The 26160-nt window shown below is 46.3% G+C and overlaps 1 protein-coding gene across 16 annotated transcripts in view; it reads right to left on the minus strand.

Annotated features, from left to right (window-relative positions):
• The window catches only part of CRACR2A (calcium release activated channel regulator 2A), a 137782-nt gene that overhangs the window by 36184 nt on the left and 75438 nt on the right, over positions 1-26160 (minus strand). For 14 of the 16 annotated variants that reach the window (XM_011521034.4, NM_001144958.2, XM_006719021.4 and 11 more), the window contains 4 exons: positions 21935-22081; positions 8053-8143; positions 4800-4895; positions 2701-2888 (listed from right to left, as the gene is read on the minus strand). In XM_011521034.4, coding sequence (XP_011519336.1) covers positions 2701-2888; positions 4800-4895; positions 8053-8143; positions 21935-22081 — 522 coding nt within the window. Of the gene's footprint in view, positions 1-2700; positions 2889-4799; positions 4896-8052; positions 8144-21217; positions 21307-21934; positions 22082-26160 lie in introns of those variants that run through there. The other 2 variants (XM_011521038.3, XM_011521037.3) reach the window with 2 other exon arrangements.

Consider the following 26160-nt stretch of genomic DNA (forward strand, 5'->3'; position numbering starts at 1 on the left):
CTTCTCAGCTGACCTTCATCTTTACATTATCTCTCTGCTTGATAGTTCTTTCTTTATCTCATTTTAAAATCTACTTCTGCTACCTTGAGCATCTTCAGAGATCAGCAAAATTAATTTTGCCTGTTCAGAATTCTTGCTGATCAGTGACTAAGCCTGTTTACCTCCCAGCTCCACCCTTTCCTCTCCCAGCTGCTCTGCAGTAGCACGGGGCAGCAAGACCCTGTCAGAGAGCATGGGACTATCAGGAGAACTGGGCTCTGTCCTTGTTATCCGGCACTAGCTAGCTGCATGGCTTTGGGCAGGTCACTACACCTCTCTGAGCCTCAGAATCTTCATGTATGAAATGAAGGAAGTGACCCAGAGCATCAAAGCCCTCTCCATCTGCCGGTCTGCAACCCCACTCTATGGAGAACAAGCTAATCCTCTTGCTGCACTGCTCTCCTGGCCTCCCTGGACGGGACATGCTCTCCGGGCCCCAGCATGCTCACCGGCTGCACAAGAAACTGCAAGCTTCTTGAAAACAAGTTTGTGAAGGTTCTGGAGTCATATTTCTCTCTTCCTCCCAACCCTCCCTCCCTCCCTCTTTTTCAATTCCCAGCCTCCAGAGATTGTGTCTCTGGCTTGGTTAATTAAGATAAGACTTCAGAAAGCTTTGAATCCTCATGCTGTGATGTGATGCTCCAGCACTGGGTGTTTATTTCCATTTGCTGTTCTAATGCTTGTGCCTTCAGATGTTTGTTGCTTTTAGAGCTTGATTGAATTTCAAGAGCCTGCATCCTTAATTCTGTTTGTAAAGCTAAATGCCTGTACCTTGTTGACCTGTTCTCAATGAGGAGGAACTGATTTTGCTTGTTCACAATGAAATATGTTGTCCTTCCACAATTGGTCATCCAAGAATTGGAATGGAGGGGCTTATTTTAAGTCAGCTACTTGGGAGTTTTTTTGTTTTTGCTTTTTTTTTAACTAGGGCTATCTTACTAGGGTGAAATTCCCAGCTCAAACATGTCTCCTTCCTTTTACCCCAGGCAATTAGTGCCAAATGGTACAGGATTCCGCACATAAGTCAAACCAGCAGAGCAGTTTTATTTAGGCCTATGGACCAAAATCCTGCCAGCAGTCAGACAGAGTGAGCACCTTCACTTTTGAACAAGGGGAGTTAACATCTATAAAACAAGTTCCGGTAAGTAGCACTGCCCTTTTCCCTAAAATCAGACTTTCAGTACTACCTGGTACCTTTCAGGATCAGACACACAACTACTTTTTTCAGAATAAATGAATGAATGAAGAGTGCATAAACGAATGCGTGAGTAAATGATAGCAAGTCCAACTCTTGTAAGAATATTTTCTGCAGGCTTGTTATTCTCTAGGGAAAATCAGCAAGACGTGCCTAACTCTTAGCATCTTGGGAGAGTTACTTAAACCTCTGAACCTCAGTTTCCTCCTCGATAATAGCAGAACCTGCTATACCAGGATAATTTTTTTTTTTTGAGACGGGGAGTCTCACTCTGTCACCCAAGCTGGAGTGCAGTGGCACGATCTTGGCTCACTGTAACCTCTGCCTCCCAGGTTCAAGCCATTCTCCTGCCTCAGCCTCCCGAGTAGCTGAGATTACAGGCGTGCGCCATCATGCCTGGCTAATTTTTGTATTTTTAGTAGAGATGGGGTTTCACCGTGTTGGTCAGGCTGGTCTTGAACTCCTGACCTTGTAATCTGCCCACCTTGGCCTCCCAAAGTGCTGGGATTACAGGCGTGAGCCACCGCGCCTGGCCCAGGATGATTTAAAGATCAAACGAGAGGATGTCAAATTATCGACATAAGTGAGATATATTGAATGCCCAGCACGGTACCTAGCACAAAATAAATGTTTGCCAAATGAATAAGTCATTGACTATATGGATACATGAATATACAAATAAACAAATGAGAGTCCTCTGCCCTGAGCCTCAGAGTACATTTGTTCTAAAACCTAATACTCCCAAGACAAGATAAATGACTGACTCTTCAGGGACTCCTCCAGCTTAAGGTGCAGACCCAGGCTTGATTCTGCCTCAGGTGTGCCTCTGCCTAGTAAACTAACCCCCATGGCTGGACGATATTGGCAGGTCGGGCCCTGAGAGATGTGGGGTTTCCCCCTACTGGGACCACACAGTTGAATCTGAGGAACATGGTGAAAAAAATGGGCAGAGATGGAGAGGCGAGTCCAGGGCAGTGACACATGCTCCATCAGATCATATGCTGATCCTGGAAGCCTCCCTGCTTCCCTCTGGTCCCTCTTGGCCTCCCAGGTCTCTACACGACCACAGTCACTTAGGATCTGTCTGCTCACTCAGCATTTGCCCACATACTATATAAAACAAGTTCTGGTAAGTACTTGTTTTATATAGTCATAAAGTAACATATGAGTACATATGAGTAACCTCATATTTGTTTGCGGAATAACATGTCTTTGTAATCACAGAATGCATTTTCTGAGAACAGGGCTGTACATTTCTTGTCAATCCTAGGCAATGCTGGACACAGAACTGGTCTGCTTAATAGTGTCAGAATCCTAGAGGAGTGTTAGAAGAGTCTCAGGGAGCAACAAGCCCAAATCCTCTTTTCACAGGCAAGGAGACAGGGTCTCTGAGCGGCGAGGGGACATGCCCATAGTGGGGAGTGGTGCGGGAAGACAGCAGAGGAGTGGACAAAGGCTGGACTCACATCTCCTTCTCTTGGTGGAGTTTGCAGGCCTCTTGCTGGAGGCTTTCCAACTGCTGCTGAGCATCCTGGAGCTCCCAGGAAGTCCGCTCCAGCTCCCGGGCCAGCTCCTGGTTAGTGAGTTTCAGCTTGGTATTCTCAGCCTTGGTCTCATGCTTGTCATGATGCAGGGCTGTGCACTGACCTTCCAGCTGCAAAGGAATGGGGAGCAGAGGGGAATGAGGAGTGACCACCATTTTCAGGAGGGCCTGCCCTGGCCTCACCTTGTTTTCTCTGCTTGGCAGGCAGGAACCGTCACTGCCACCCCTCACTGGCCTCAAGCCTAAATCAGCATTGTCCTCTCCTCAGTTCACACGTACACACTCCTCTAGGCAAGAAGGAGCTTTCAGACACATCTTGTCTCTCCCCTGTCTCCACATAGGACCACTAAATAGTCCAGGAGGAGCTGCTCCACTCAAAAAGACCACTAGCAAAGGAACTTCCACAATCCGTCTGTGTGAATGGCCTTGAGATCTAACCTAAATCCATCTTGTTGTCCTTTAAGCCAATTTCTTTCCCTTGGTCCTTGATGGAGAAGGGGAACAGCTAAATGGCCTGCTTCATAAAACCATCCTTCCCAATTTTGCACGCTGATAGCAAATCTATATATTCCCTTTTCTCCTCTCAACTCCAATTCCATTAATCTAGAGAAGCTTTTAAGGGTAGCCAGAAGCCCTGAAAATTCTTAGGAAATAACTAAAACAGTTCAAACAGAACATAGACCTTTTCTATGTCCCTAAAGCAACTAAAAACCCTGCATTTTTATAGCTTCAGCTTTTCTTGGCTGTTGATTATGCTTTGCAGAGCTTCCAATCCTCTCACCAGAGGAAGAATCAAACCAAGGTACATATATCATAATAAATTTAGTTTAATGAATATGGCCGGCAAGGGGAGGAAGAAGTAACAACAAGGAATTTGGCGTGATTCTCAAGAGGCTCCTGTGTAATCAGGCAAGCATGCAGTAATTAAATCGAGTGGCAATCATTCATTTGAGGGATAAATGTAATTGCTAGGAACTTAATGCATAATAGAGAGGAAGAGAAAGAGTAGGAGAAGCAAGGTACAACTGTGGATGGGGAAATGGGGAGGCAGCTGGCAGTTCCCGGAGTAGAAATCATCTTGCTGCAGAAGGAAAGAGACCTAAATTCATAGCTTGGGTAGCAGCAGCAGTGGAATAGTCTCTAGTCTTAGCAGGGCTGTCTTCAAGTAGATTTTGATGTGCTGCTAAAAATAGCCCTCTCTATTGAAACGGAAGCAATGTGTCTTGGTCTGTCCAGAGCTGGATTCCTTCCAGCACCAGGCACAACAAAACAGGAGGCCAGTGGCACCCTAGCCTGTCTCCCTCAGGAGCCCTTGCTAAGCAGTGGAGGCCACTAAGTAGGAGGCTTGCCTAGGTAGTCAGTCTTTCTGGGGTCGTTAGCCAGGTACTCCCAGCCATAGAGACACAGCCATATAGACACTGCCCTGCAGAGGGCACCACCCAGCCTGCCTCCTGGAGGCTCGGGTACATCAGAGAGGAGTGTCTGGTGTCTGCATCCTTCCTGCAGGGATGGAAGCAGCCACAAAAGATGCCAATGAACCAGTCCAGGCACCACACAGCCAGGGAAGAGACAGGCTGACCTTGGAAGAACCTGTTCCAGCAGAGGTATCCATGGCCATATTCTAGAGGGAAGAAACTTATCTGCAGCCTCCCCCCAGATATAGTGGTAGACAGTGTCTCTTGTACCTCAGCATTCCCCTCTTTTCTTATACAGGAGGCAGGAAACAAATTCAAATTTTGGCATTCTCGTGGCTCCTGGGTATAATTATAGGAACATGTCTGCAGATACCTCGTGGGGGAATGCTCGGCAACTTTTCCAAGTGAAACACCTGGTATTGGAGAAGTAAAGGTTTTATGTTGGGATCACCTGTGATTTTAAATGCTATCTTTTGCGCGACTAAATAGTTCTTCTCAGGTTAAAAACTCAAAAGTCCTTAAGTGAATGGCAGGGAAAGTGGGCAAGAGGCAGAGAAAAGGAGAGAGTGAAGAGCCAGGTACTCTGGGGCCATGGATGGCAACATACCCTTTTCTGCTTCTGGGTGAGCTGCTCCAGCTCCTGCTCCTTACATAACAGTTTCTGCTCCAGCTCTTGACTGCGGGCTTGAAACCTCTCTGTGTCCTGCCAAGCCAGAAAGAGGGACACACAGGACCCAAATGTAGCACACCCGGGTTATAGATTTTTTTTTTCCCACCTTGAACCTACTCAACATCAGGGCCCATCCTATTAGACCATGGGGCTTTTCCCACAGCACTGCAGGGCTCTGGTAACCTGCCTGCCCCATCAGGGAGGACCAAATGAGACAGAGATAGTGCAAGCGCTTAGTGAGGCAGGATGCAAACTCCCAGCAAGCGTGGCCATGTTCAATGACTGTGCACCACCACCCTCCTCTCCGCCAAAAAAGGGGCAGTGTCAGCCAGTTGTGGTACACTGAATGGGGAGAATTGGGGCTGAGTTCAAACATCAGGCCTTGGTCTCCTCATGTGCAAATTGGGGGTGACTGGGGGAGGCAGATGACCCCTCGGACACCTTCCGACCTGGATATTCTGTTCCAGGTTGGGCATTGGCATCGGATCCCTTAAATTGGCCTCACTCTGGAAACACAGGGCCATTTCCTCTTCCTCTTGAGGGTCTAAGTGTTCATATTTGCCCACTGTGACTGAAGTCTCCCAAGCCCTGCTCCTCAGGATGTTTTAATATCTGCTCCTTCCCTAGGCTGGGCTTCCCCCACAGAGAGGTGCTGAAGCAGGTGAGAAGGGGCCTGGCTATGGGACGAGGAGGAAAGTGTGTGGGCTATCAGGTGCCTGATGCTCTCAGCAGAGCCAGATCTGTGGTGTAAGGCCCCTGAGCCGAGCGGGACACAACTTGGGTTCCAGCCCTGGCTTCATCCAACCAACTTGCTTCATTCTTTTGGATCACTGTTTGTTCACAGAATAGAAACAAAAATACCCATGCCATCTGCAGCACTCCACTTGCCTGAAGGCGGAATGGAGGTACAAAATGTGCAGGAAGAGAAGAAACCATTGTAACTGCCATATAACTCACTACCGGAGCCCCCTGGGGTTCCTGTCATATGGAAGGACTCTTTCCCAAGGAGGACAGCGTGGGATGCTGCACTAGACGGGTGTCCTGGCATGACAGCAGCAGCAGCGCGGTGGGGGAACACGGCCCCCTCGGGCCAGAGGCCTTTGGACACCTCCATTCAAAGGCGCAGGATGCTTCCTTGCGCATCCTCTATGGATGTTACCAGGTTCTTCTGCCCATTTCTAGGCTGGTAAATGGGCAGAAGAACCACTGGGACAGCCTGTGATTATCCTCATGTTAACCACATGAATGGCAGAGGTACGATCTGACCAGACAGCACCTGCTCCCAACATTTGCTTCCAGAGAATCAGCCCCAGGGAATTTGCCTCCTTCAGCTTGGCTGCTGCTCTCTGTGAAAAATGCTGGGAGCAGCGAGCGGCTCCAGAATCCCCATGATGATGTGGCTGTACCCACAATGGGCCTACAGAGCATCCTCACAATGCGCCAGGACAGGGCGTTCAGGGGGTGTAGCATCACATCCTGGGGTTGGAAGGTGCAAGTGATTAGGTACTTCCTTCACGGTCAAACAAACTGGTAAGGGTCAAGCCAGGATCCAAATTCCGGTCCGAGGGTCCAGCCTTTTCCATGATGTCAGAAACTGTAGCACCACTATCCTTGATCTATCTCCAGGCAAAAGCCTTTGTATCTAATGGCTTAATAGTGCTGCAAAAACATCTGAGCAGTTTCCATGTTCACCCAGAAGGCATAAATCTAAGCACTGAGCTTTAAAGGCATTTGGTGTCAAGAAGGGAGAAGGAGGGAGCAGAAGGGGAGAGGGAGGCTGGGTCACCTACAGTGATGCAAACTTGTCCTTGAATTTTTTTCCTCTGACCTCTGCCCTCGCCCATTCCCCATGCCCTGGCCCAGCATTTACTTCCAAAATCACGTCTTTTCCTTTAGCTAGGACCTCTGACCTATAGTCATGGCCCAGGCAGAGGGGACAAGATGCCCCATGGAGCTCAGCCTCTCTGTGCAGGATGTCATTCGGGATAAAGGGGGTGGCTGTCCGATGGCGGGGAGGTGGGGTGGGGAGCTGCTGTTCTCAGGAACTATTTTGGGATCTGCTGATGAGAAGTGTGTGAGTTCTGTCTGCCGTCAACTAGGTTGAGGGGCAGGAGCAGCCAGAATGCTTTCAGGCGCTACAAGAGGGAGGAGGCCTGGAAATGCTGACAAGCCTCCAGAGGGCGCTAATTGGAGGACACGACCAGATTTTCTTGAAAAGCACTCCGATTCCCTCAGTTTGAATGACATCTGTGATAATAAATGCAGCAGTGGTGTCGATAATCTGAGGCAGCATAAAACTTAAAATTGGCTCAAGAGAAGGGGTTGTGAGAATAGCCGGGCTTAGTGCTGAGCGGCAAGGGAGGCTGCCATCTAAGATCAAAGCCTTTTCTGCAGAGAACTCACCAAGTAGATAGTCCAAAAATGGGTACTAGAGAGTTCTCTGAAGCTTTTTTTTTTTTAAATTAGTTTTATGAACATGTTTCCAGAAGGATCCTGCTTACCTTGGCAAAGAAGAGGATTTCGCCAATCCTGACCTCTTGAGACAAATGGCAGGGCTTGGGAAGGGGCTGATAAGGGTCAGACCAGGAAGAGGGAAGGGAGTTACCACTTCCTCCGTGGTATCTGTGGAAGGTGGGATTTGTTTTTTCTTGGCTATTAAATTTTCCATGTGTCTAAGGGTAAAGGATAGGTAGCACAGGCTCTAATGCTTGTCCACTTAGGGGAGCTGCTGGGCACAGGGTGAACTGGGCTGGTGCATTTGGGTGCATTTGCCATATAAATCTAGGAAGTCAATGTCAGATCCAATTTAACAGGGAAAGCATGAGCCTCCATCCTTTCATTCATTCACTCATTCACTTGTTCATTCATTCATTCATTTAACAAACACTTGTTGAGCACCTAGTATGTTCCAGGCATTGTCTATGTGCTGAGGATACCTTAGTTAATAAAAGATAAAATCTCTGCTCTTTTGCAACTTATATGCTAGCAGGAGGAGATAGACACTCAATAAAAATAAACAAGGATATTACATGTCCTGTGTGAAGGTGATAAATGCCTTGAAAAAAAAATACAGCAGAGAAAGAGGGAATCAATAGTGCATGGATGGGGGCACCAAAATCTTAAACCTGGGGGAGACAGAGCAGATATGTCAAGCTGGCCTCAGAGCCAAGCCTGGGGAGCGTACACTTACCTTCAGGAGAAACTGCTCCTTCTCACTTTTGATTTGTTGTTCCATCTCCTCATAGAGATGCTGGATTTCTTCATCATAAGCAGCAATTTTCCTACAGAGGTGGCAAAAGGAGAGTCTCATTGAGGTTCCCCTACTCCACAGCGGTAGCTCCTGGAGCTCAGACACCAGTTCCCCAACTCTGGAGCTGTGGGTGTGGGGGTGACAGCATAGGTCAGGTCAGCCAACGCTATAAGATCAGTCCCTCATGATCAGCTAACCCGACAAGGGATGCAGACCACAGAGGCCTTGCGAGACCTGCCCCTGCAACTGTTAGGTTTCATGTGGCCTCTCCTCCTTCTGTCCCCCAGCCATCACTCCTAGATGATCCCTATGCTCCTCGGTGAAGCTTCCCTGGACCATCTCCCTTTATTTTACTTTATTTCAACACAAGCCCACAGGCCTCTGCCAGACGTATCATCCCTGTTCCCGCTGATCTCCACGCTCATAGACTATATGAAGTTGCATTGTGTGGGTTTCTTTCCTGTTCCGTTTCCTGGTTTATCTTGTCCCTGTTTGCATGCTTTCTCTCTGCCTGTCCACATCAGGACCCTCTGACCCTGCACTCTCAGGGGACTCTCCCTGTATGCCTGAGTTTGTGTGATCCATGTTTCTCATGAGATTCTCAAGAGATTCCATGATGATGACAACAAGAGCTACCACACCCCCCACCACAAAGCAAAAGCGACAATGTCTAGTGCCTGTGCCATCTCAGGCTCCAGGGCACAGGCAGACAGTGTGAGACAGGCGAGGCTGGTTGGAGGATGGCGATGACAATGAGATGTCCTCATCCCCACTCTCCTTCTCAGCATCCTTTTCCCACTCTTTCCTCTCCCCCGTCAGAAAGTAAGTACCTAGAGAGATGAAGACAAACACACAGCCTATAGAGAGATGAAGACAAACACACAGCCATGGGGACAAGTTTTGTAGGTCATCCCCACGGATGACCCTTTTCTGCTTCCCCCCTCTCCCCATGATACATCCAACTTCAATGCCCCTCCAAATTCAAACAGGAAAGATCTGGTAGTAGCATTGGAACTGAAACTGGGAGTTACCACACTGAATTATTAACATTCCCAGATAGTTGCATTTTCATACCTTTTTTGCTGACCATGCAGTGAAAGACCCTCTCTGTGGCCCTTACTCCCTATCCTCTCCCCATCCTGTTAAGGAAACTTCAGGCTCTGTGAACAGGCTAATGTGGCTATCAAGGCCTGTTCTGAACATGCAACACACACACACACACACACACACACACACACACACACACACACACACACACACACACAATTTTGGCCCCTGCCATTCTAACTTAAATGATGGCAAGCCCACTGTGCCCTTTATTTAAGGGACTTCAATAATTGAGGAAACAGCCCTGGTTCTCAGTTTTAAGAGGTACTAGGAAGATTTCTGAACTGAACATAAAGGATGGGAATATATTTATTCCCCTGAGCCCTCCATCATTTTAACCCCTAACTCCCATGTCCACTTGGGCCTCCAATCCAGGACCAGACCTTCTCTGCTGTCCAAGGCTTTGCCACAGCCCAATTTCTGTCCCTTTCTCACCTGCCACCTGTTGGGAGAGCATTTTCACCATGTGCACAGGTGAACAATGAACAGGAGTCATTTTGATTGGCATCCTTCCAGCTTTACAGAAACCACAAATCTGACCCAGACAAAGGAACAGTGTGTGAGACTCCATGGTCAGGGGCATTGATCACAGAGCACAGCCTTGGAGTTCCCTTGCTTGGCTGCAACCCCAAGACCAGAAACTTGATTTTGAGTGACTGTACAGTAACGGTCCAGGGTGGGCTCAGCAAGAGATGACAGTCCTCCCAGACCTCCACAAGCTGGGACCCCGTCTTCATGGATACGTCCTGCATCCCTTACTCTTTTTGGCTAAGAGTAAGAAATCTCTTCTTGTTAAATGACCAATGTTTGGGATTGTTACTTTTGCTCTGAGCTAACTCATAAGAATTAAAATAAAATCTTGGAGGGAAAGTAAGGAAAAAGGCTCATGCTATTGACCCTGATACTTCAGTGACAGAAGCAGATACAGTTTGAAGGAACTTTCAGAAAGCAAGATGTTTTCTCTTGGTCCCTGGAATGACCTTCCTGTGTTTGAAGAAACTCAGATGCTAGATGGTAAATGATATCAAGGAAAACTTTAGACAGAGATTCCAGCTATATAAATACGGTAAAACTAATAAAGTAAGATGAGAGAAACTTAAACATTGATTTGGCTCTGCTAAAGCAATTCATATAAAGTTATTCATATAAACGGCTTACTATTTATTTCTAATAACCATGCGGGGCATTAATTCTATAATATAATTAAATGTGCTATAGTAACTTTGATCTACTTTTTATTTGATTAAATTAACACACTCTAAGTTTTTCATGCTCACATACCAGCTTGCTGGTATGTGAATTAAGTTATTTTACAAACCACTAAAAAATAACTGGCAGGAAGATAGATACAGGGTTTGAAGAGTGCCTCCTCCTAGCCCTCACTCACAAAGGCTAGGCCTACCACAGAGAAGCCCTAGGATTCCAGGTGGGCATCAGAGATCCTGGGCCCAACCAGACTCATATATGGAAGCAAGCTTTTGGAAAGTTGGTCTGCTGTGAGACTCTCCAGGCTTGAATGACTATGAGAAGCCTCGGTTAGAACACACTAATCCCAGGAATGGGGAAGATTAAGGTGCTGTGCATACCAGTCATGTCACTAAACCAGCGCAGGGACGAGAAGACTTGCATTCTGATCCCAGAACCAGCTCCTTTCCTCAGTGTGACCTTGGGTAAGTGCTCTGACCTCCTCACATCCTGAGGCGGTACCTGCCCTATGTTCCTCCCTACATTGTCATAAAGAACAAATGAGAGTGGATGTGAAAAGCGTCAGAACCACAGAGCCCTCAGTAAATGTAAGGGATTATTTACTCCTGTCATTTTAATCATGGACTGTGGAGGACAAAGGGCAGTGCTCCCCAGGGGGAAGAGAGTCTTGGTTTCAAGGATAAAAGGCCTGCTGGGTTTGGAAAGGCTGATGCAATTGGGAAGATGAAGAAGAAATAACTCAGTCAATAAAAGTGCCTGTCAGACCAATCCATTGGAGACCCAGGCTGTGTGTGAGCAGGAGCTGCAGAGCCAGGAGCCTGTGTCTGCAGGAGCCCCGCAGTGGCTGCGCGGGCAGTGGCAGCAAGAGACACTAAAAAGATGTGCACATATGGTGAGTCACATTCAGCAAGGCTCGCCATATTCTGCCATCAGGGGAAAGAGACAACTCATCATGTTTGCTTATCATATACATCCTCGTTGCCACAATTTCTAAAACCACTTCTATTGCCTAATGCATATAAATGGACTTTGAAGTCTTCTCTGTGAAGATTTTGCCATCTATTCCAACCCTCATGACCCCTTCTCTGAACTCAGATGACAGCATATGTCTTCATTTGATCATTTAACAATTAATCTTAAATAGTCCTGAACAACTGTTTCATTTGGGTTCATGTTGTCTCAATTAGGTTATAAACACGCAGGCATTTATGTCACCCACAGGGCCTGAACTCAAAATGTTAATGCCAAAAACCTGTAAAAACTCAATTTACAATTTTGGGTACCGAACTCAGAAGCTCATGGACCATTTCGAGGGAATACTAGATACCATGGGAGTTAAAGAACTTCAGATTTGGAAGGTTTGTCTGATCTAACTACCTGTTTTTCCAGTGTTAAAATTCTTGCGACAATACCACGTCAAGGACTTACCCAGACTAGGTTAGAATACCCCCAGTGACAGAGAACTTGCTGTTTCTCTAAGCAGTTATTTCATCTTTGGGATATTCTGGCTCACAGAAATCTGTCTTTCCATGACCTTACTCTTCTTCTGCATAAAAGCCTTTCATGTATTTCAGAATGGCATCAAGACTTCAAGGAGTTGCCTTGGGTTCCGGTCAAGCCTCTCCACTTCCTCCAACTGTGTCTCACATGGATTTTTTACAAATCCCTTTACAATTCCCTTCATGCTTCTTCAGATGGGCCGTAATGATCTTTCTCAAGCCACGGCAGTGCCAAACTGAATGCCCAGTGTATGAGTTGGACTTGTGCAGATTAGAGCTGACTATTACCTCTCTTGTTCTAGATGCTGCATATCTATTCATACAGCCTAAAACCTCATTAACTTTTCTTGGCAGCCACATTACAGTTGACGTATGTGGAACCCATTCGTCAACTAAAATCTCTAAATTTTATGTCTGTGTGATCATTTTTGTTTTAAAGATAGTACTACTGAATCATATCTCCTCCACTTTGTGCTTCTGCCATTGGCGTTTTGAACACACAGCAACATCTCAAATGTAATGCTGTTAGATTTTGTGTTTGCTATTTCTAGTCCATCTTTCCAGCCTGTCACTATGCTAATAGGTTTCAGTTGGTCATGCAGTGTTTCAATGACCTTCCAAGTTTCATTGACATTTTAAATCTTCAATCAGGATGTAGGCTAAATAATCTATAATGTTGGTTTTTATAATTTAATGCATCTGAGAGTTATTTAAAAGACAGTTTATTAAAAGGTACAAACTATTGGTTTCTAGTTTTATTATATTATAGTAAGAAATGGTTTTGGAATCTATTGGTTATCTTTCCTCTGTAGCCACAAACATGATCAATTTTTGTACAACTTCTATGAGAGGGATATATATTCTATTTGTAAGGCACACAATTCTATATTCGTCTCTAAAGTGTATTCATTGATGGCTTCAAATACTTTATATCCTTCTTGTACTTTTGCCTGACTAATGTGTCAAATCTGAAGCAAATTTGTTAAAGTCTAAAGTCTTTTTTTTTATTAAGTTTTCTTTATTTTTTCTAAAAGCTTCTGCCTTATGTGTCTTCCTGTTGTGTTGTTTGGTGCACAAAGCTTAATACATGTTGTTCTTCTTTATGGATGGAATTTTTTTATTACTTCAAAACATTCCCCGTTTATCTTCCTATACTCATGCCATTGGAAAAATATTAGACAAAATGAGGACGACAACCTGTAGCAGAGATCTCTGAGATGTTAATTAGTGACATGTAGGCATAGCTATTCAACCTATCTTCTCTTAGCCATTCTCAAAACACTCCTTCTGGCCGGGCACAGTGGCTCACGCTTGTAATCCCAGCACTTTGAGAGGCCAAGGTGGGCAGATCACCTGAGGTCAGGAGTTCAAAACCAGCCTGACCAACATGGCGAAATCCCCTCTCTGCTAAAAATACAAAAAGTAGCCAGGTGTGGTGGTACACGTCTGTAGCCCCAGCTACTCAGGAGGCTGGAGCAGGAGAATCACTTGAGCCCAGAAGGCGGAGGTTGCAGTGCGCCAAGATCAGGCCACTGCACTCCAACCTGGGTAACAGAGTGAGACTCCGTCTCAAAAACAAACAAACACTTCTTCACCTGGCTCCCAGAACTCAAATGGTATCTATTTAATTATTTCATTTTCTACCATCTGACCCTAATCATTTTGAGTTATGTAACGCAGAAGAGACGAAGAAGAGGTAGATGAAAGAAGAGTGAGGGCAAGAGACATGAGTTCTCAGTGGAAGAGAAGGACAAAGATGTGGAGGACCAGAGTTAGCAACAGTCATGAGCACTAATATTTATCCTCCCCGTCCTTTTCTTTCCCCATGATAGCTGGGTAGTTCTTCTGGCATGTTTCAGGGTAGTCTAGGTCACAGACCGTTTGCTGACACAGGTATGGTTGCCTCAAAGTTCATTAGATCCAGAAACAGAAGGTCTGGGTTCAAGTCTTGGTTCTGACATTTACAAACTTTCTGGCCTTGGATAAGTCACATTACCTCAGTAAGCCTGAAGTGTCCTATATCTGAAAAATCAGTTGGTAATACCTACTTCAGATAGAAGTTGTGAAGATTAAAAAAGATAATGCATGTGGAAGTGTCTAGCACAATAAGATGCATTTAACAAATTCTAATTAAATAAGTTTTCTGATTCTCCAGAGGCCAAGGACCCCATTCTGAGAGCCACTGCTCTATAGCTCCTTCAGATGTCAGCCAAGGGTCAAGTAGAAACTGGGGGGTGGAGGATCAAGTGGCAGCTTGTTGTATGTGGTGTGAAGAAATGTGTGCAGGAATGGTGAAGGAGTTGGGGACAGAAGACACAGGGTGGATAAAACCTGACGAGGCTCAATAGAGAAGACTAAATGTGGAGAGAGAAGTCCATACATCCCACCAACATTGAAAAGTGTTGATGAAGCCCTTCTTACAGTATGACTCTGGGCAAAATATTTTCGACTGAAGTTATACTCTCTGTGTAATTTAGCATCTAAGAGTACTGAGCCCAGTGCTATAGTGGCAGGGAGGAAAGGAACTGATAGAAGAAGCCATGCACTATGAGGCAGACCCAAAAGAACCCTCCTAGGTTCTGGCTGATGGTCATCTGTGACCTCAGAGCCCTGCTAGGGGGAAGTAAAGGAAGCTACCTGCTCTGGTGGTGGGGAGGAGGGGGGAGTTATCAGGGGAAAAGCTAAGAAGAGGTGAGTTCAGAATAGGGAGATTCTCAACAGCAGAGGGGAGAGAGTACCAGTGAGATACTGCGGATGCCATAAGGGCAACAGTGGATTGGAAAGAATGAGTCCTACTGAAAACCCAGATGAAAACCCAGGTCCAGCTCAGGGCATTAAACATCTTCACCCAAGATATCTGGTTCTGGCAAATGTCCCTCCCTAAAGGACGGCTGCGTGTGTGTGTGTGTGTGTGTGTGTGCGTGCGTGTGCGCGTGCGCGCGCACGCGCGCACACGCTCATGTGTACATCTGGTGCTGGGTTACTGGGGAGCTAAGGATGGGAGGCAGATGGGATATGAAACAAGGATATAGGGGTGAAGAATTCATTATTCTAATGTAAATACAAAGCGTAGCTTCTGAGAGGCCTTTAGAGATAATTTGCAGGGAACTACAAGGTGAGATGTAGTTAGCGTTAACTTATCCTGCCAGCCTCCCACAGGAACTGTGAAAATTAATTAACCTTCACAAAGTGTTTTGCACATGGCAAGTTAAGGTGCTACGCCGGAGCGAGGCATTAATACTCAACATCACTGGAGCTCCAGCTAACGGCACATAGGCCAAGGCCTTCCTGCTGTGGAATACTGCTTGGTCAAAAGATTTTTTTCCTGCTTTTTCTCTCCTTTGTCCTCCCTTTTAAATAAAATCTGTTGGGATTTCAGAGGGTCTTAGAAAGTCGTCCATTCCCCTGCCTAGGCTGTAGGCAGGGGTGTGCTGAAATCATTCCAAGAAAAATGTAGCTTCTGCCTTTTGTAAATGAAAGCGTAGGCTTGGCCTTGGAGAGAGGAAATGGCATTTCTCTACAATTTAGGTACATTTCAGGAGCTTGAACTCAAGGCAGAGTTTCAGAAATGGCCCCTGGCCTTGGAGAGTTGCCATTCTGATTGCATGTGTCTTTGGGGCTGTGGTTTGATCAATTATGTCTCCCGGTTTGCAAAGTTAGATGCAAAGAGAAGGAGAATCCCTCCTCCCCATCACAGAATGAAAGCTTATAAAGCTCATGTATTCCCTATGCCTTTGGTTTTCAAGTGAAGAAAATGAGGGTCAAAACAGTGAAGTAACCAAATTTCCAAGGGTCAGAGTAGCAGGCAGAACCCAGGCCTTGACTTGGGTCCCATGGTTCCATTCACATCACTACGATGTCTGGCCCAGCAGCCTAGGTTGTAAAATAGATAACTCCATACATTTGCATTTAGAATTGTCAGTCTTCCAAATTACACCTGGAATCTGTCAACTGGGGAGTGAGCACGAACTGGAGCAAGGTTATGGGGCCAACAGTCCACACTGCCATGGCCAAAGAGAGGCAAGATTATGGGAGGGGCTTGACTCCCATTCCCCCATGTTACCCACATTCCCTCCCACCCCCTGCCTCAACGTGCTGATCACAGAATGAAGACCCTCAACTGCAGAAGTCTCAAGAAGTCTGCTCTTTGCAAGAGAAGAACATGGAAGCAAATTCAGCCTCAGCCAGTTTTGTGCTTGGAATGGGAATGGTAAACAGGGTTTTAGACTCCCCACTGCCCTCTGCCACCTTCTTCAGGCAGCTGCAGTCCTCTGACAGCTAAGAAGCTCTCACTAGAAAAATCCTGTTTAGAGTTTTGTTCCCCTGAAATCAGTCTCTCTCAGTCTCTGTAATTATCTGCTTATCTCTGTCTCTCTCCATCTCCATCTCTCTCACACACACGTGGGCGCATGCACGTGCACACACATACATGCATGATTAGAGTAGAGCTGAATGAAAGGAAAACGTAAGAGTTTGTAGAAAATTCTGCAAAGGCTGTGAAATTGCCGATTGGATTTTCAAGATGGATGGTTTCTTCCAAATTAGATTCTGCTGCCTGTATAAACCAACTTTGCAGCTTTATCCTATTCTATAAAGCAAACCATTTTTTATTAGTCAGGTTTACAAATCATGCCCATGGTGTACACAGAGCACAAACCGTCCTCACTTTTCAATTTGCTCTCAGGGCAATGTTAACAATATGCTCAACATAATAATATACCCACAGAAGACATGCATTAGATTAAGTCACAACCTCGTCACCTAGAGTCCTCGCCGAGAACTTCACCCTAAGAATAGGACTAGCATTCCAGATTGGAAGGGCACCATGGGATATACCTTTTGCTGGCTGACTGATTCTGGAAGAACTGGCTAAAGCAGCATTTCTCAGAGTGTGGTCTACAGCCTGCCTGTATCAGAACCGCCTGGGATGTGTGTTATGGTGCACGTTCCTGGGCCCCTTCCCTGAGACGCACCGATTTAGACTCCCTAGGGGAGGGGGAACTACCTTTTAATTTAAAAATCCTCTGGTAAATCTAAGCAACCTACCATTCAAGAACTATGCAGCTGAGGCCTTCCCCAAGGTCACTAAGAACTCTGTGGAATGTAAGGACCACCTGCCAGGAATATGAGGCTTTATTTGCTGCCCTATCTGGAGGCAGGGCCAGTGACATGATGACATCTCTTCCCTGAAAAGCTTTGGGGACAGTTTCCTTGTCCTCGAGGCTCCACAACACAGGCTGCCGATCCTTAGGCTTGTGTGGGTGTGCAGGCCATCATAGCTGGGGCTGCCTGTCAGTCTGTAAGGTGCACTCCCTCCTGGACTGGACACCTTCCCAGAGCACAGGGAATCACCATGGACCGGAAGTGGCTCAATAGCAGCTGGTAGGGGCTGCAACTTAAGGGCCTGTGAGCTCCTAAGAAAGTGCCTGAGGTCTGATTCAGATGGACCAGGGAACACTGTGCAGATAAGGAGCTGATTCCAAAGAGGGCATGAGGACTGCTGCTAAGCTTGTCAAGGCCGATGCCAAACAGGCAACAACCAATGATGCCAAACAGGCAGCCAGCTGGTATTCCCAGGCTACAGAGCTGCAGAGGATTGAGCAGGAGCCCTCCCAGAGCACAGCCTAGGGCTGGCCTTTGATCTAGAAAACACTTTCCTTCAGAGCTCAAAGCACCCCACTCAGAAGCTGCCTAATTTATCCTTGCCCCCATACATTACAAATACAGACGTTAAGCCCCCACCTCAGACAAGTGAACTGGTGCCCCTGGGGTGGGACCTCTGGCATCCCAAAATGGTTCTGGTGAAAAGTCTGGATCTACTGCTGCCTCCAGACAGCACTGCTCTATGTGCCCTGGAGAGCTCAAGCTTTTGTTCCAGAAAAAGGTAAATGCAGGGGATGCTTTCCATGGCAAAGAAATTCCCAATTCTAAGTTCTCCCCAATGTCTACACTATATCCCTCATGCTAAAGTGTGAAGACCTCCGCACATCTGCACTGTGAATGCTGAAGGGACTTGCTGAGTGGAAGTCTCACCTCCCTTCCTTGGAGAGAAGTAGAGGCCCACAAGGGGCTCAAATCCGAAATTTCTTCAACCTCTGTGCAAAAGGACAAGGGTGTGGGAGACTGAATGCTCCCAGACTCCTTTCCTGCTCCTATTTCTGATATGCAGGTTAAAAAAAATTCATGGCTGTGAGTGAGGACTCTGGGTTGTTTCTAACAATGCTCCAGGACACTCTGAGGGGTTCTCCTGGCCTTAGCTATTGAGGGCTTGCCTAGCACTCAGCCACCTCAGTTGCCACGTCCTCCCTCCCAGGAAGTGGAGTAAATGTGAGGAGGAAGCTGGGGTGGGCCTTTTCCACTCACAGCCACCGTGCGACCTGGGGGATATGGCCCAGCCTGGGAGGCTGGGGACAGGGAGTGTGTGTCCTGCCTAACCTGCATAAGGCCAGACTCCCCCAGAGGTCAGCCTCATTTTCTCTGGCCCTGTGGGAGAAAGGTGTGTGGTCTGCACAAGGAGAAAAATTAGAGGCTATGCTGCCCATGGCAACGCTGTCTAATGTTTCATTTGCAGGAGGATTTTCTGGTCTGTCTTGTGCAGAATTTCCAGGCATCTAAGCGCTATCTCCTTGGTGTGATCATGAACTCCTCAAGGAGAGGGACTCTATGTTCCCTTTGCTTAACTCAGAGCCTGGCATGGAGGGAGTGCTGGTTCGATGCTAGCTACTGGTTACACACAGACTGTGTTCCGCCTGGTGCCTGGCCTGGGGCAGACATGCAGCAGTCGTGACTTGAGCTGTCATCCCCAGCTTCTGGGATAGGCATTCATTGAAATGTCATCCACTGTAATGAAAAGTGAGTGTGTGGAGGCGCCTGGGAGATATTCTCACAGCTCACCAGAACCCGCTCTTCTTGGGATTCCTCTAGGCTCCCTCCCAAATCAGGCCATCCCCAAGAGATTCCTCCCACTTCCTCTCTAAAACCTGAAAATGTCCCTCCCACAAACAACCTCACACCTCCAAACTCACTTTCTAGATGTCTCAGAATCACTAACCTCACCCTGAGTCATTTGCAAAGAATCCCATTTTCATATCCTATACCCTATTGGGATTTCCAGTCTCTTGTTTGATGTCTGAGTTACAAGTGCCTTTATACATAGGTCCACCAGCAAGGTGTGACCCACCTTTTTTTAAAAAATAGAAGAGACTAAAAGAGGCTCTAGTAGAAAACATCCGATGTTGCCAATAAGGAAACTGATGCCCAGAGAGGTAATGCAAGTTGCCTGAGGTTACACAGCTGGTAAGTGCCAGTGGCTGGGCAAGAGCTCCAGTCCTTCCTGCCTCCTATTTCAGTGCCCTGCTCAAAACAGTCTGCAGTTCTCTGGTTCTGCATCCAGAGAATACCTCTGGAATGGGACTGGCCAAAGAGTTCAGTGAGTCCCCAATCCCAACACAGTTCCCTAGCAGGGAGTGGGCCTTGATCAGCTGACCCCAGAGCAAGCATGGCTGGCAGGGATACTGACTGAGGATGGGCATGGAGAGGCTGGAACCTTTGGCTGAGCTGGTTTTGCACATGCAGCCAAGAGTGGCTTGACTTTTATCTCAACAACGTTTCGAGCACAATTACTAAATGAGGACAAACCACTAATACAGGCCCTTAAAGATGGATGCCAGGGCTAAGCAGCTCTCCAGCAAGTCAGGGGTACTTGTTTCTTCCTGCAGAAATGCAGGCCAGCAGAGGAGGTCCTGCAGATGAGATGCCAGGCTAAGGCTGGGTAATTGCCCACTGTTTCAGACTGCAATTATCTCCTTAGAGAACAGAAGAATGCCTTCCTCTCTGGGAGAGACCACTTAACTTTTGCTGAGGCTCCTCCAGGTGATCAGTGCTGGGGTCAGAGAGGAGAAAGGGTGAAGTGGGGTCAGCCACTAATCTAGCCCCCTTATTTTATAGATAGGAAAACCAAGGCTCAAGAGAAGCCAAGAAATGTGAGCAGTCACAGAGCTAGCTGGTTGCAAAGCCACACATGACTCAAAACCAGAAACTCCTGATTCCGAGCCTCCCACTTCCCAAAGTTACACACTAAGCACCTGGACACCCTGCTAAAATGCAGATTCGGTGGGGCTGGGGGCAAGACTCTGCATTCCTAAGATGTTTCCAGGTGACGCCAATGTTGCGGGTCCATGGACTACACTTTCAACAGCAAGTCTCTACACTGTTGTCTGGAAGGATACAGGGATCCTTAAACTTAGCCTCTGATTATATTCAGGCTCAAACTCTCCACTTCAGCCAGACAAATCCTCTAAGATTAACAAAGATACTTATTTAAAATACTAATAATTATTATTTTGACATTCATTGAATACTTATGTGCCAGCACTGTTCCAAATACTTACATGCATTATTTCATTTAATACTGAAAACTCTGTGAGATGGATACTGTCCCTATCTTACAGATAAGGAAGCTGAGACTCAGAGAGGTTAGGTAACTTGTCCTAAGTTGCACAGCTAGTAAATGGCAGACTCAAGAATCAAATTCAGTTCTGTCTGATTCTTAATTAGGTAATGGCTACATAAAAATATACCCTTTAATCCTTCCCTTCTCTGAGCTTTGGGAGCCTCTCCCCAGAATGTTCTTAACAGTTCTCCAGCCAAACTATGTTTCCTCCAGTGATACTTGTCCTCAGCTTCCTCATAATGCAGAGTCCTAAAAGTCCTTTCTCCCCAGATCTGTGTATACCCAATGGACCTCAACAAGTTATTTTTAGAGTTAAGGTCAGGGAGACACAAGACGAAAAGGAGCCGGGACTCAGAATAATGTGTAAATAGATGATCTACACAGCAAGACACATGGTGATCTTGCTCAATTAGAGGCTGCATGTTTGCTCTAAGACTATTTCAGCACAAACTCTGAAACTGCCTTCCAGGCTTTGCTGGAAGTATCTGAATGGAGGAGCAGGTGGTCTGTGGAACTGCATAGCCAAGGGATTGTTGAGGCTTCCTACAGAAAATGAGCAAATCTCTGGGTGTGTACAAGATTTCATGGCAGAAGCATGGGGCAGGGCCTCCTCTGTATATGCTTCCAAGCTCTACTCAAACCCAGCCCTGTGTTGTAGCCTCACCTTCAGGGTTATGAACCATCCCTAGTCATACCACATCTAAGTCCATGTTCATAAAATGCGAGCTCATGGCTGTAAATGTTTGTTAAAGGACTATGAACAGCACAGTGCCCATAACCATGCATTAATTCTCATGAAGGGACTGGTGTCTAGTGGGCTTGCCCCAGTTTTGTGATATACCTGCCTGTTCTGACTCTGGTTCAGTTCTTCAGCAGCTTCTTCAGGGCTGTGAGTGAGGAGGACTCTGGGTTGTTTCTAACAATGCTTGGTCCTGTCTCCTGGAGAGGTCTTGGAGGCAAATAGGGTAGACGAAGAGACATGAGGCCGTGACGGGAGAGAGCGGCCAGGAGGAGGGACATTCAGCAGGGCTATAGGTCACCTTACCAAACACGCCACCTCTGCAAAGTGGGCTGATCTGGCCCTGGGGGATGGCCCAGTATGCTGGGGTCTTACTGCCTGGAGGCAAGCAGAGTGATTTTTCTTCTGGTCACAGGCACCTGGCTAGCTCACTCCCAGTCCTGGCTCTACTGTTCACAAGCTATGCCTTCTGGGGTGTACTACTTAACCTTTCTGGGTTTCCAACCCTCCGCCTGCAAAATGTGCAGATAATAAATGTGCAAAATGATAACCAGTCCCTCCTTCAAAGCGTTGTGGTGAGAACTAAATAAGCTAGTGTATAAAAAGTATTTAGAATAGTGCCTACCATATAGCTTAAAAAGGTGACGGAGAGCTTAAAAATACATATATCGTGACAGACACAGGGCCTGGTCCCCACTTTGGCAGACAGCAAAAGGAGGCATTGCACGATGTTTTGGCAGAAGATCTAAGAGAAAGTGCACCGTGTGTCTCTCTTTTTCACACATAGTTACAGAAAGCGGCTGACACTGGGGTACCCACCTTTTTAGGGCACACTCCAGTTCATTCTTCTCCTCATGGGCTTCTTGGAGCTGGGAGATGATTCTGGTCAGGAAGTCTTCAAAGTTGGACAGTAAATGAGGTTCCTCCTTCTTCAGCTGCAACCAGAGCTGCTTGACATCACTTTCACTGCAAGAGAAGGGACGCTCATGTGGAAGTGTGGAGATGAGGCTTCACGGGAAATACAGAGGTTCCCAGACAGGAAACTGACAGCCAGAAACAGTACCGTCAGAATCATTATAAAGATGACAGTAGCTAACGTGGACCGAATGCTTGCTGCATGTGAGGAGCTTCAAGGATATCAGCTCATTTCGTCCTCACAATAACCCTACAAGGCAGGAGCTGCAATTACCCCATTTACAGATGACGAAGCAGGTGAAGAGAGGTGGAGTGAGCTGTCTAAGATCACCCAGCAGTCACTGATGGAGTCAGGGGTCCAGCTCAGGGCTGTCTGACTCCGGTGTTGGCCTCCTTCCCCACCTCGCTCTGCTGCTTCTGTTCTCCCGTGGCCTTCACGACGGGCTCGTGGGGCTGGGCGTGCACAGCAACATGCTCTGGTGCATCTCCAAATGCCAGGAAGAAGACAGGAGGACAGGAGCCCAGTGCGTTTAAGGACACACACTATGGAGCTAAAGCAGAGAGCTCGTTGCCCCCAGGAAGGATGGTCCTCACTGCTGAGAGGTAAAGACGTGCCATGTGATGGATGGCAGAAAGCAATTGTCACTGCAGGAAGGGAAGAGAATATGCAGCACCCCACTGTGGCCTAGTGGCACTAGGGATGACTGACAGGCAAAAAGAAGGGAAGGAGCAAGTCTGAAAGATGCGCACACACAGAAAGACAAGGCGAGAGAGACTTGGGAGACCCAGAGGCCAATAGACAAAGGCACAGAGGCACGTGTGTACACAGCTCAGTGACAGAGATACAGGGGCTCAGGCTGACACCCAGGGAGGGAATGAGGAGGAGACACACATGGTGGACCCTGTTCTCCCTTTCTGGGGAAACTAAAAAATCTGTGGCCAATGATCAAGCTAAGTTAAACATAAATCTGAAAGAGGATAGGTTTTAATTCAATAAAAGTTAATAATTTCTCACAGCTAGCAGACAGTAGAGTGTTATAGCATCAAGTTTGAAAGTTATATAATAATAAACAGTAGAGTTCAAGTGAAATTTCACAGGCTAGTTTATTATAAATTATCAATTAAACTTTATTCTAGCAAAGTAGAGAATAAATATAAATCTTATCCCGCAAACAATCAGGCTTTTGATTTTTTTAAATTAATGGGCACATATGTATTTTCCAACACTTTTTTCACATCTATATAACAAGATGTAATAACTAGCTCAGTTCATTGTCTTCTCAAAGTCTTTTGTTACTTAAATATTCACTCTGTGTCTTAATCTTTCAAGTTTCCAGCTATTGAAAATATAAGTCCTTCACCTCCTTCCATCCTTTCAACATAATTACATTTTGATTTTTTACTCTGTTAAACTTTGAGACTTTATGTAATGTATATTTCACATTTAATTAATTTAACCTGATTATGGAAAATCGCTTATGACCCTCGTTTTATGAGGATAAAGTTATCTGTATGCCTATACTTCTCTTGAGCTCTTTCCAAAATTTGCTTGTCCATTACAGTCATCTGCACCTTGACAATCTGCCACCAACAGATTCCTGTTGGCTCCCCAGGAATCCTCAGGATAAAGAATAAAATTATCTGTGCTTGTATAACAAGCATTATATTTTAGAAATTTTCTTCGGAAGTGATATTTGTTAGTGTCATGCTAGCAATGCCCCTGTGGTATAGACATTACTCTCTGCACCCTGCAGAGAAGAGGCCCACTGAGAAATGGGTGGTGACCTCCCATCCCTGTGGCAGCTTGCTCCCTGCTGTGGTGTGAATGTTTATATCTCCTACAAATTCATATGTTTAAATCCTAACCCCCAACATGATGGCATCAGTAGGTGAGGCCTTTGAGAGGTGATTAGATCATGAAGGCAGAGCCCTCACAAATGGGACTAGTGCCATTGACACTGTGTTCTATAATTAGTATTGTTTTAAAACTCTGTATGCTAACTCCCAAATATGATATTAAATAAATGTTTATACTATTATGACTACATAAATAATACCCCTGGAGAACCAGGACTCTTCCTAAAATTACGCCATTATTTGTTTTACTTCCTTTCCCTGTCCCACTTCCCCAAATCCCTTGCCAGTTTCTTCTGGGAGTACCTCACTAATAAATCACTTTAAGACAAAAACCACAAAAACAGAAACGTAAATGTGACTTGTCTTCCATTAAATTCCAGAAACAGAAGATCTGAGGATAGCTCTGACAAGGAACCCTCAGGAGAAGGAATAAAATCCTTTGTGCTTGCGTTATTAAGCATTATATTTTAGAAACCTTATTCAGAAGGGATATTCAATAGTGCCATGCTAGCAACGCTCTTGGGAAATGGACATGACTCTCTGCACCCAGCAGAGAAGAGGACCACTGAGAAATAGGCCCACCTCTGATCAGTTATCTGGTCATCTCTAACACTTCATCCCTCTCTCCCTCCTTTCCTTGCTCCATCACTTCCACCAATTCTTTCTTCTATCCCATCCAAACATCCGCGTACTTATTTAGACCATCCATCCATCCATCCATCCACCCACCCATTTCCTTATTAACTCAACAAGTATTTATTATGATCTGTTGTAAACCTTGCACTGTACTGGATGTCATGGGTGAATCTGGGAAATGGGAGAAAAGGAGGTAAGGAACCTCTCTGTTTCTCAGAATGAGTTCCATTCCTCCCAGCCCCACAACACACACACAGCATGTTGTGGGGGTCTTATTTCATCCTATAGGTAAAATTTAGATGTGGCAAAGGGTTCAGAGATAAGAGGGTCTCAGAGAGACACCATGGTGACCTCCCATCCCTGTTATAGGTTGTTCCCTGCTGTGGTGTGAATGTTTATATCTCCTACAAATTCATATGTTTAAATCCTAACCCCAACATGATGGTGCCAGAAGATGAGGACTTTGAGAGGTGATTAGATCATGAAGGCAGAGCCCTCACGAATGGCACTAGTGCCCTTATAAAAGAGGCCAGAGGAAGCTCATTCACCCTTCCTGCCATATGAGGACACAGTGAGAAGACAACTGTCTGTGAATGAGGGAATGTGACCTCATCAGAGAGCAAATCTGCTGGCACCTTGATCTTGAACTTCCTAGCTTCCAGAACTGCCAGAAATAAATTTTGGTTATTTATATAAAGTACCACATCTATGGCAGGTATTACAGCAAACCAAATGGACTGAGACACGCCACCATGAAGTAAATGCATTGTAAAATCAAGGTTCACCTTGCCAGCCCAGGTCTGTCTGTCCACACCTGCCAGGTTCCTGATGGAGCCAACTGAGCTCAAGTCCCCAGTGAGATTTGCAGACCCACCTGCTCCTCTTCCAACACTCTTTGAACTACTTAGTCATGGCAACAACAACTTGCCCCAGATTTCTGGAGAAGGGACAAGTCTTTCAACTTTTGATGAAAAACAAGCCAAAGCTCACTAAGCTGCCAAATCGCTTAGCCAATCGGACCACCAAGAAAAGTCAAAGTGCAGATGCCCAGTCTCGAACTTCTAGAACACACCAAGGCCACCCCTCCTGGGAGGATATGGGAGTATAGGCTAGAAAGGATTCTGGGAGGTTTATCAATCCATTTCACTGCTTCCAGAACAACACACAAATCATTTTGGTGAGCAAAATCTTTAAAGAGCCCTCAAATATTCATAGCCTTTTCTATTTCCCTATCTGAGGTCTCACAGCCGTGAATGTTTCCCTCATGCTGCAATCTAAGCCCACTTCAGTGAGGATGGAAGTGGCTGGTCACCATCTTCTGTGTATCATCTTTTACAGACCACTCTTGAAACCTCCACAAAACCTCCTCTTCTTCGGGACATCTCATTTTGGCTCAGTTCTGCACTGCCTTACTATAGGTCCTCAGAGTCACGTCTGGTGGACTCTAATTGAGAACCTTGCCAGTAAGGCTGCTACCCTGCAGTGAGGGCTGGGCAGAGAGGCCCCTTCCTTCCGTTACGGTGCCTCAGCTCACCTGCACTGCCTTCTCCTTCCCCCTTCTCCAGGAGGAGGTGTCACACTGTCACCAGGAATGGTCTCTGTGCTCTGGCCTGTTGTCCTTGGAGAAGCTGGGTCAG

The sequence above is a fragment of the Homo sapiens genome, chromosome 12, assembly GCF_000001405.40.
Source record: "Homo sapiens chromosome 12, GRCh38.p14 Primary Assembly".
In the NCBI taxonomy this organism is placed as follows: domain Eukaryota; kingdom Metazoa; phylum Chordata; class Mammalia; order Primates; family Hominidae; genus Homo; species Homo sapiens.